Source organism: Homo sapiens, chromosome 8, assembly GCF_000001405.40.
Source record: "Homo sapiens chromosome 8, GRCh38.p14 Primary Assembly".
Taxonomy (NCBI): Eukaryota; Metazoa; Chordata; class Mammalia; order Primates; family Hominidae; genus Homo; species Homo sapiens.
In genome coordinates, this window is record NC_000008.11 from 7543015 (window position 1) to 7555027 (window position 12013).

The following is a 12013-nucleotide window of genomic DNA, read 5'->3' on the forward strand; positions in this document are numbered from 1 at the left end:
TGCTCATGACCCTGCGGGGAGTACAGGGCGTTTGCCCTTGACTTGCCTGAGCCTCTAAAACCTCACATGTCCCCTGGAGGTGGGTGCAGCTTCCTCCTACTCTGGCCTTGCTGGCCTGGGAAGGGCGTCCTTGGTCCCTTGAACCCTCACAGCATTTTCTCTTCTACTGAGGTTTCAGGAACTGCCTTTCCCCTCTGGGAAGGAGGACAGGGACTCTTTCAGGTTTGATTCTCCTCGGGGTTTTAGACGTTGGCTGAGGTGGGAACTGCCTTCATCCACATGAAAGGCCCAGCCAGGGCATCCTCACCAGCCTGGGCCTCTGGGTAGGTTCTGAGTCTGGTCGCTGGAGAGGCCGCTTCTGTGAGCCCCAAGACAGCAGCCCCTGTGAAGGCCATTCTCCTCTGTTCCCTCAGGGTGTCAGGACCCGCCTGTGTCCAGGAAGTCCCCTCTGAGACTAGATTGTCCTTGGTGCAGCCCTCCCAGAGCCGTGCAGAGGCAGATGTGGTGCACTGGGCCTGGGCTCTGAGGAAGCAGTGGTAGCGGGGGCCAGGGAGGACCCAGGCTCTAGGGCAAGGGAGTGTCTAACCTGGGTAGAGCTGGGCCGCATTCAGGGAGTGGCACTCCAGGGTTCTGTTTCAGGTGGAGCAGGGGCCAACTCAGGATCAAGTACCTCTCCTTCCACCTCCAGGACTCACCCAGGGGCAGGCGGGAGCTCCAGGTTCTTCTCCTCCTCCTCCTCCTCCTCCTCCATGTGTTTTCTCTTGCTTTATTTCTCTGAGTCAAGAAATTGGGGCTGTCCTTCATATCGGTGAATTTTGACCCTAATCATCATGACCTTGTTGAGGAAAAGAGTCATACTCTGCAAAATATTTGGAGATATTTATTCTGAGCCAAATATGATTGACCATGTCGTGTGACCCAGCCCTCAGGAGGTTCTGAGAACGTGTGTCCAAGGTGATCAGGGTGCAGCTTGGTTTTATGCATTTTAGGGAGACATGACTTCAACTAAGTGCATTTAAGAAATACGTTGATTTGATCCAGAAAAGTGGGACAACTTGAAGGAGGGGGGCTTCCAGCTTATAGATAGATTTAAAAATTATCTGGTTGATAATTGGATGAGTTTATCTAAGACCAGGGATCTATTGAAAGGAAATGTTTAGGTTAAGATAAAGAGGTGGGGAGGCCAAGTTTTACTGTGCAGAGGAACCTTCAGATAGTAGACTTGAGAGGGAGTAGGTTGTAAAATGTTTCTTATTGGATTTAAAAGGGAGCCTGGTCTTTGTTGATTATCTCCTGTGTCTGGAAAGAAAGAAAGAAGAAAAAAAGGTGGGGAGCCTTAACCTCCCTCACTGTGGTCTCACCACAGATGCAGAAACACCCTTACTTCAAAGAATTCCTCACATGAATTCATTCCAGGCCTGGAATCACCCCAGGTAACTCCCTATGTTCATGGATAGCAAAGATTGGACTATGTTGCATAATCTCCAGGCCACAAGACACATCCAGTGGTGGTGCATTCAGCAGGGTCAGCATGACTGCCACTTCTAGGAGGAAATTTGTATTTTAAAGTTGTAGAGGGTGAAGCTGCTCCAGCTCCCTCCCCAGGAGCATCATTTGCAGTCTTTTTTGAAGGCAGTGGACTGAGGGCTGTCGTTCCACAGCAGCAGCAGAATTCCAGCACAGAGACGTTCATCATCGTGGTCCCGGAACAAGGGACAGAACTCACACTGAGACTGGAAGAGTATGTCCTCATCCTGTCCCCACAGACAGCCCTGCCCTGACCCTGGGTAACAGCGTATTTGTGGTTGTGCCTGAGCATGTCCTGAGGTCACTGGATGGCCTGCAGTTCCCTCTGCAGATCGATTACATCTAGCACTCTGTGGATGACTTCACCTTGGAGTTCCATGTTCAAGACAGAGACACCTCAGACATGAAAGAGACAATGTGCCGCGCTCACCTACAGAAGAGGGGGAGGCAGAACCCGTATGTCACCAGCCCTTGATGAGATCCGAAGAAAACCATGTTGCTTGGCTCAGCGCTTCTCTTTCAATAATCCTACTGCGCATTGCATACTTTCTCCTCTGTGCCCTACCCTTTACCAACCACACCTAGTCCAGTGGGATTCCCTAGACCAGCCAATCTCAGCTTCAGCCTGTATAGGATGGAGACTTTGCCCAACTCCTCCCTCAGACCTATGCACCCTTCACCAAGTCCAGCACTCAGGTCTGCCACAGGGTTCACCATAGTTCTCCAACCAGAGCACGAAGATGTGTTTTCAAGAAGGGATGTAGCCAAGATCCACCACTTACATTGATAGATCAGAGATTGGCCAAATCCTTAGTCAGTGCATGCCCTAAAATGTGGAGGGAGAGTAGTTCCAGGAACCTCTTGCTTCCCCTTCTCTGTTTCCCATCATGATCCATTGTGCTCACTAGCAGAGGATCCCAGATGCTGCAGGGAGACGAAGAACTGCAAGGTGTGTAAATAAAGTGCTCCCATTTCACTTGGCACACAGTGTCCCTTAGAATTTCTCTTCCATATTCAACCTCTTAAATGCAACCACACTCAATCAAATCCCTTACTCCTCAACGTGAGGGTTCTGCTTTCAGCATGCTTTCAGTGGCGTGAAAATTCACCTGAAGAACTCTGCTCACTCCCAGGGCTAACACAGCCCCTTGATTGCTGGTGTCCATGTAGTCATTGGTCTGATGTATAGATAATAATTCCTAAGCTTGACACTGTATGTATGCCCTGAGATTTTCACCATTTTCTCCGTGCTGTGACCCAGTCCTTGTCTTTGTTCAGGTTCCCCACACTCCCCAGGCCAATGCTTTTCAATAAATACTGAAATTATAGGATGAAATAGTGGTGACTGCTGTGATTGCTTCCAAGTGAGACACGCTTCTGCTCTGGCTCATCAAGTTTACATTACCACTTGCCATTCCTAAGTTTTGTTTTCAATTTTTGGTTTGTATTTCATATACCTGTACACTAAATTTCATGATTTGGGCAGCATTTTTTTTATAAAGGCAGGGCCATAACTTTGAGGAGGACAGACAAGTTTCTATCTCCTTCGTGTAGAAAAAAAAAGGCAATCACAATGCTGATTTCAAACATTTTGGATAAAACAGTAACCAGGCATGTCCGGTGTGTAGAGTGAGATGCTACTGTGTTTTGAAACACAATGGAAAGGCTCTTGATTAATGTATCTTATGAGGAGAGGCCTAAATATAAATTTAAAAAATAGTTACAGTAGTGTATCACTGCATAAGTATCTAAAAAAAGAACGACAACTGGATAACACAAGTGAGGGTCTATGTTCCCTGAACCGGAAGAGACAGGCAGGAGTCGGAATGATGAACCAGCACACTGGGGCGTTTTCTCATGTAGCCCAAGTGACCCCATGGTCTTCTCGAGCTTTGGAACCAGTCGCGTCCCCTTTGACACTGCACCCGGCTCCCAGTCTCTCAATCTTGTTGGCCCTCCGGCGATCTCCCGTTGGATGAATTGCTCCTGCTGAAACTCGAGTCCCCTTTGATTTGCGCTTCATTAATTATTCATGATTCAGGTTCGAAGGCCTGCTGACGACCCCCTGTGGCCGTTCTCTGAGCTTTCCTGTCACATCGTTTCCTTCCACACTCTTTGGTTCCTTATGGTCCTGCTCCTTCTGCTGTCAGAGGAGCAGAGAGTTGATCTTATTCATTCTGGATACGGATACTTTCTAGGTGATCTGGATAATCAAGATAACGACCCTCAACAGCGGCGGAAAGGGAGCAGCCAGTTGGTGTGTCTCAGAAAATCCCACTGAGTTCCGAGGCCTCCTAGATGTGGAATCCTGCTGAGAGTTGTTCCCAGGTCAGAGAATGGAGAGAGCCTGTGCATGATGGGATATCCCCGCCTAGATCTTTCAGTGAGTCTCTACCTCAGCAACTCTTAGGATCAGGGGGAGAACCATGGTGTCAGACATCCGGAAAGAAGACGGGATGAATGTTTTACCTCTGAAGTACATCCCAAATGTGGGAGTTAACTTCAGCTTTGCTGGGGTCTATTTGGCCAGTGAAACGCTGCCTGGTTCCTTCGCACATCCGGAAGCCACTTCACGGGGGGCCGTCGCAACTGGAACCACACACTTGGCATCGGCGGTTGAGCCAAATGGGGACTCGTGGTGCAAGCAACGCTCCCCACGTGTTAGCGTGCGTGAGATTCGGTTGGCGGAATTTTACTAGGTGCGTGTTGGTAGAGTGGGGCTGAGGTTTTCTTGCTCCTGTGGATGTATAGGAAGTCAAAGGTCCTGCCCAGCCCTGCGGTCCCCTCAGTCAACTCTGTTTCGGAGACGTAACGATTTGGATTGCCAACAAGTCAAGATATGTTCAAGCCCTTGGATGTAGGGTAAAGAAAGAGAGATCAGACTGCCACTGTGTCTATGTAGAAGGGGAAGACACAAGAGACTCCATTTTGGAAAAGACCTGTAGTTTAAACAATTGCTTTGCTGAGATGTTGATCATTTGTAGCTTTGCCGCAGCCCCTTCCTTTGACCCAACTTGGAGCTCACCAAAACCTGTGCTGTATAAAATCGAGGTTTAAGGGATCTAGGGCTGTGCAGGACGCGCCTTGTTAACCAAATGTTTACGAGCAGTATACTTGGTAGAAGTCATTGCCATTCTCTAGTCTCAATAAACCAGGGGTGCAATGCACCGTGGAAAGCCACAGGGACCTCTGCCCTTGAAAGCAGGGTATTGTCCAAGGTTTCTCCCCATGTGTCAGTCTGAAATATGGCCTCGTGGGATGGGAAAGACCTGACTGTCCCCCAGCCTGACACCCGCAATGGGTCTGTGCTGAGGTGGATTAGTCAAAGAGGAAAGCCTCTTGCAGTTCAGATGGAGGAAGGCCACTGTCTCCTGCTTGCCCCTGGGAACTGAATGTCTCCGTGTAAAGCCCGATCGTACATTTGTTCAACTCTGAGCTCGGCGAAAAGCTGCCCTGTGGCGGGAGGCGAGACATGCTGGCAGTAATGCTGCCTTGTTATTCTTTACTCCGCTGAGATATTTGTGTGGAGAGAAACATAAATCTGGCCTACGTGCACGTCCAGGCATAGTACCTTCCCTTGAACTTAATAATGATATGGATTCTTTTGCTCACGTGGTTTTTTTTTTTTTTGTTTTTTTTTTTTTGTTGACCTTCCCCTTATTATCACCCTGCTCCCCTACTACATTCCTTTGTGCTGAAATAATGAAAATCATAATCAATAAAAACTGAGGGAACTCAGAGGCCGGTGCCGGTGCAGGTCCTTGGTGTGCTGAGTGCCGGTCCCCTGGACCCACTGTTGTCTCCCTATACTTTGTCTCTGTGTCTGATTTCTTTTCTCCGTCTCTCATCCCACCCGACTAGAAACACCCACAGGTGTGGAGGGGCAGGCCACCCCTTCACTTGGAAAATCAGTTACACACAAACACGGAATGAGAGTCAAAAGACAATATGTCATCTTTTTGAGAATTTTATTCACTTCAAAACCAATTAAACACACATATGTACAAAGGCATTCCAGAGCCCAGTTTTCGAGGCTGAGGAAAGACCCCGAGAGCGCTTTGCACAGCACGCTTCCCAGCGTCCGAAACACTGTTCTCAGGGCGGGGCACAGCGGAAGGGCTGCACCTCTCAGCGTTCCCTAACTTTTCCCTTATTCAGTCATCTAGAGAGCAAATACACAGTAATTCCCCAGTTTCTTATTGACGTCCCAGCGGAAGTCTGACTCCTGCGCGTCACGCAGTTTCTGAGGCAACGAATCTCTGGCGGAAGCTTTTCCTGGCGCGTTTCGGGAGAACCACGCCAACTACAACGTCCCTCACCAGAATTCAATGAGGCAGAGTCCCTGCATCTGCTCCCTGCCTGGCCTGGGCTCCCACATCCACAGAAGCGCCACAGCCGGGGAGCTTCGGAGTCACCGCACAGAGTGTGCTCTCTGCTCTGCGCTCCTCAGTCCCACAGTCCCCTCCAAGTCACGGGAGCTGGAGGCCAAGGAGCCCCTGCCACCTGCAGTCTCACTCCAGGTCAGAATCGCTGTCCTCTGAGGAGGAGGAAACCTGAAGGTCCTCATAGAGGACGCTCGGTGGGACACGAACACAGGGAGCCTCAGACTTCTCTGACACATGAGGGCTCTGAGCGAGGAAGGCTCCCGGCTTCTCAGGAGAGTGAAATGAGGGGGCGGCCAGGAGGCTGGAGCTCCAGCGTCCGTTTTCCAGTCTCCGGAAGAGCACTCTGAGAGGCTGGGCCCCATCATGGCCGGCCGCTGGGTGATGGGACATGGTGCAGGCCTGGGCAGTAGGCAGGCAAGGTGTGCTGTGCGGAGGCTGCCGGTCGACGCTGGGCACCTGGGCCGGTGTCCTCCTGCCCATCTGGGGCGACGTACTTGGTCCAAGTTCGGTTGCGGCTGGCGGAGGTTGGAGATTCTCCGGGGCCCGCAGCTCACCTCCCTGGATGGCGCTTTCGGGGATCTGGAAGGGACCCAGTCTCGGTTCTTGGGAAGTTCAGGCAAGCCTGAATCGGAGCCTGGGCAGGTCTCTTGGCTCCTGGCCCGAAGCTGAGATTGGAGCCTAGGCCCAAGCTGTGTGTGGCGGCTGGCGGGCAGGGCTGTGAGGTCACCGCAGGACGTTTGTCTTGTGCCTGGGGTCTGACGGCCTGGAGCAGGCCGTGGGTTTTGGAGGCAGCCTGGGGAACTTCTCGGCAGCCACCCTCAGGGGCTGCTGTGTGTCGGCTTCACCACGAGGAGAGGCTCGGGGCCCTGGTGCCTGAATGCAGGCTGAGGGATGTCGGCCGCAGCCCCTGTCTGTCTTTCCTTTGGTCCAAGACTTGAGGAGGAGCTCAGGCTGGCTTTTCTGAGGGGAGACAGTGAAGCCAAGACGGAGCCCCTGCCAGACATTTCGGTAGCTGAGCGATCAGCGAGGACAGGGTCCACGCGCGGCCTCTTACTGGTTGTGTGGACCGGCATTGGCCCGCTTGCAACCTGAAAGAGAGGAAACAACACAGGTTAGAAGTTCCACGGCATGGAGCCAACGTGAAAATCAAACATATCCAAAGACAAGGTGCACACGCCATGAAATTCTTAGTACAGTATCGACAGGCGGTCCTTGGAAGTAGGGACAGATCCCTCCACCTGAGTGCTGATCAGGACAAGACACATGAAAGGTGCGCTCTCGAGCTATGTGTAGCTGATCTAAGCACACCATTGTTCAAAAGATCGCGTCTTGGGCATTAACTGGATCAAAGCGCCTCCACTCAGCCTTCCATGAAGTGGAACGGACTAATGCCCTTCCCGAGGCAGGTTGGTGGCTCAAGGGTACTCGGGACGTCTTCTCTGAACACATGCATGTTCCTGGGTTTAGCCTTCTCCACGTTTGGGGCCTCTGAGGGACTAATTTCCTCATGCCGCTAGGAACGTGTTGTTGGCAGGCTTGCCATAATTGGACAGAAAGAAAGCCACAGGAAATACGGCATCTTCAGATGCCTTCGCCTGGAATCCAATTGACCTGGAAGGATTGTGGAGTCCCTGACCCCAAGAAGGCAAGAAAGAGGGGTTCCCCGATTTCCTCCCGCAGACGGGAAGCTGAAAGGAAATCAACCAGGGTGACCTAGAGGAGAAAAGGACCAGGGGCCCGGGGTGACACTCACCCTCAGATGCTCGGAAGATTCCGTGGATCCTTTTCCATTCGGCAGCGGCTTCTCTGGAGGTTTCCCGGAAAACATGTGGAGGAGAGCGTTCCTCTGCGGGTCTTGTTGCCTGCAGAACAGAAAAAGGTCAGGCGGTGCCCCCTGGTTTTCCCCAGGAGACAGGGAGAACCCCGTCTGGGGCCCAGCCCCATTCCGTGTTTTGTGATACAGAAATGGACATCTGGTGCCCTTTCCGCCTCTGCACCTTCCCTCACGTGCCAACCTTCCCATCCTCCAGGTGGCCCTCTAGGCTTCCCGACTAAGGACTGTGATTTGGATTCCATCGCTTTTCCCGCTGTCGTGGGGAACCTGCACGAAGCGCCCCCGCCTCTCCCCGTCCCTGAATCTCCCAGAGCCCAAGGAGCTCCTGGGTGTGGAACCCCGGAGGACACGGAGCTCCGGCCTATTTCTCTGCAGCGCTCCTTCCCTGGCCCGGAGACGGAAAGGCACACGGTGTGCAGGTGCAGAGACACCATCTCCTTAGAGGCAGCACCCTAAGAGTGGTGAAAACCCCTCCCACTGCTCACCTTGGTCTCTCTTCCTTCTCTCCCTTATCCTTGTTCAAGGGCCCCGGGTTGGCTTCAGCCCGGGGCTTCCATGGTTTCAGGTTTTCCTTCCCTTCCTTTTTCCCCAAGGTCGCTGGAACCAGGGCTGCCTTCCAGCACTTCATGGGGCACCTGGTACTTCTGGCCGTGTGGCCAAAGGCCCCGCAGTTTTTGCACTTGAGCTGTGGGTGGAAAGGAAGTGATGTCAGTGAGTGAGCTGAAGCCACAGGCAGCGATCCCACGTCAACATTGGGACGGATTGTGAATTCAGAGCTGAATAAGGATTCCGAAGAGGGGACACCGGCATGGGGGCCGTTAAGTGCTGGGAGAGTTCGGATACGATGTTCCCTCGCAAAGCCCTTGTGACGGAGTAACTCTGAAAGGAAGGACTCAAGGTTCCAAGGGGCACGATGGTGAAGCCGATGTCAACAACGCAGCCAAACGTGGCTACACAGGACTCGAAGTAGAAAGGGAGGTTGCCCCCAAGAGTCTCTCAAGGGACCTATCGGGCCGGGGAGAAGGTCCCAAGCCACGCCCACCTTGGATGGGAAAAGCAACCTGGCTGGTGGTGACAGAACTCTTTGGAATCCAACCCAGTCTCTGAGGACCGTGGGACACCGCCTCCCCCCGTCCCCACCCCCACCCCGATACCCAAGAGATCCAGGGCTAGACTTACCCTGGGATCTTCTTCATCGGGCGGGGGAGACCTTGGCCCAACTGGGGCCCTCCGCTGCTTCTGGAGGGTCTGGGCTCTCACCAGTCTCTTGGCCCAAGATTTGGGGTCCCGACGTGCCATCATCTTCGTCTCCTGGGGGTTTTATGACCGCCTTTTTCAGGGGTGGACTGTTGGGCCACCTGAAACACACACAAACACACACATGTCGATGGTTAAGCACGTTGGATATTCACACACCCACAGGAAGCCACCTGCTAACTCCCTGCCTGTGTGGTCATGAGGAGACCTCACCACCAGTCGGTCAAATCTGTAGAACACAATGTGCTGTGCGCATCCTCGGATATTGTGTGTTCCTCTGCCATGACTACCTAGTCCAAGAGTAAACCCCACCTGCCACAGGGCCCGTGGCCTAGGTATGGGGGGTTGAGCTTTCAACCCCAAACAAACAACTGATTCTGGAGACTGGACTTAGGTCTCTCACGATTCACTCCGGTAGAAGACACGGTGATTCTATCTCCCTTGACGGACAGAATGATCGAAGACACAGGGCATGGCGTGTGCCACCCTTTGGCAGGTCTGCTTGAAGTCACGGATAAGGGATGCTTCCTGTGATAACTTGAATCGCTACTCTTGCCATTTCATTAGGCAACTTCCAAACACAAATTCATACAGAGAAGTTACCTTCCTCTCTACCGCACTAGCAGGTGATGGTCTTTCCTGTTCTATCTTTTGGCTTTAGCTCCAGCCCCTCTTTATTTATTTTCCTGGTATTTTACGCACACCACACGAATTCATCTGAACAAACGGGGAAGAAGTGCCGTATCGTATCGACGTCTTACACGGCTGAAGGGCAAACCCCCCTTTTTTCCAAAGTCCTTTTTCCATTTACCCACCAATTCAGCATGCTGCAGTACATTTCTTTTCGCATTCCCATCTTGGTCTTCTCCCACACGTGGAGACGGATATGTTGTCTCGTTTTCTGTTCCAAGAATTACTAGTAACGAGAACACATCCTACCCCACCAGCAAGCCCCAGTGTGATCGGTTTCTTTCGGCCTCCTTTGTCTCTTCCTCCCCCCGCCCCCCCCCCGCCAAAACCACTCAGGGATTGCGTGAAACAAACAATTGTTCAGCGAAACTAACCTGAAATTACACGTCTACTTTCTTTCCCAGGCTGGCGCTGAGATGGGCAGGTGCTGCAGCAGCCCGGCTGGAAGCGATGCAGCATCCAGGACGACGGAGGAAGGGGCAGAGAGGGACCTCCGCTTTCCAGGCTGCCTTTTATACTGCCTCTGGTCACCTGACATGGAACGTACCCTAACCTAATCAGTTACCTGTACCTTAATTGCAATTAACTTAATCCAATTACATGACCTGGAAAGGTCTATCTGCACAGCCCACTCTAAGATCCTGTCCACTGCTGACAGACATTCTAAAACCTACTTGTACAGCTGCAAGCTTTGAACAATAGATGTTCCCCGTCAGACATGTAACACTGGTGCCTGTACCCGTCTTCTTTTCCATCTTTTTTGTCGTTTAGTTTTGTTTTGTTTTAAAAAATGTGGTAAAATAGACACCTTTTAATTGGACCACATTTTGTCTATCTCGACGTAGGCCTCAGTGTCATCAAGGAGACTCTCCTTGACGTGCAGTCACGGCCATGATCCATCTTCAGAGCTTCTCTTTCTTCCCCAAGGTAAGTCTGTCAGCAGAGAACCCTGACCGCACCCTCATGTGTTTTCTCCCCCAGGAGGCGCTTGGAAACCACCGTGAATTGGACCGCACTGGGAAACACAGATGAGGAAAGTCAACAACGCTTTGTCCTTCAGTGCCTGGCTCCTTTTTCAGCTCCTCTTGCGACTCCAGGCATTATGCCTGAAAAGTCTCCCGGACGCCTGTGAGGCTCTAATTCCCTGGGTCCCATTGCCATGTCTCTGGATTTGCGAAGATCCACCGCACCTTCTGTGGAACTCCCGTGTCGGTGAACTTTAGTGCCACGGCCCCTAATTCTGCCCATGGTCATCCGCACCTGCACGACTTAGGGTCCATGTTCCTTGGACGGGAAGAGACAGGCAGGAGTCGGAATGATGAACCAGCACACTGGGGCATTTTCTCATGTAGCCCAAGTGACCCCATGGTCTTCTCGAGCTTTGGAACCAGTCGCGTCCCCTTTGACACTGCACCCGGCTCCCAGTCTCTCAATCTTGTTGGCCCTCCGGCGATCTCCCGTTGGATGAATTGCTCCTGCTGAAACTCGAGTCCCCTTTGATTTGCGCTTCATTAATTATTCATGATTCAGGTTGGAAGGCCTGCTGACGACCCCCTGTGGCCGTTCTCTGAGCTTTCCTGTCACATCGTTTCCTTCCACGCTCTTTGGTTCCTTATGGTCCTGCTCCTTCTGCTGTCAGAGGAGCAGAGAGTTGATCTTATTCATTCTGGATACGGATACTTTCTAGTTGATCTGGATAATCAAGATAACGACCCACAACAGCGGCGGAGAGGGAGCAGCCAGTTGGTGTGTCTCAGAAAATCCCACTGAGTTCCGAGGCCTCCTAGATGTGGAATCCTGCTGAGAGTTGTTCCCAGGTCAGAGAATGGAGAGAGCCTGTGCATGATGGGATATCCCCGCCTAGATCTTTCAGTGAGTCTCTGCCTCAGCTACTCTTAGGATCAGGGGGAGAACCATGGTGTCAGACATCCAGAAAGAAGACGGGATGAATGTTTTACCTCTGAGGTACATCCCAAATGTGGGAGTTAACTTCAGCTTTGCTGGGGTCTATTTGGCCAGTGAAACGCTGCCTGGTTCATTCGCACATCCGGAAGCCACTTCACGGGGGGCCGTCGCAACTGGAACCACACACTTGGCATCGGCGGTTGAGCCAAATGGGGACTCGTGGTGCAAGCAACGCTCCCCACGTGTTAGCGTGCGTGAGATGCGGTTGGCGGAATTTTACTAGGTGCGTGTTGGTAGAGTGGGGCTGAGGTTTTCTTGCTCCTGTGGATGTATAGGAAGTCAAAGGTCCTGCCCAGCCCTGCGGTCCCCTCAGTCAACTCTGTTTCGGAGACGTAACGATTTGGATTGCCAACAA

At 52.1% G+C, this 12013-nt stretch overlaps 1 pseudogene; it reads right to left on the reverse strand.

Annotated features, from left to right (window-relative positions):
* FAM90A6P (family with sequence similarity 90 member A6, pseudogene) lies at window positions 5479-10709 on the reverse strand (annotated as a pseudogene).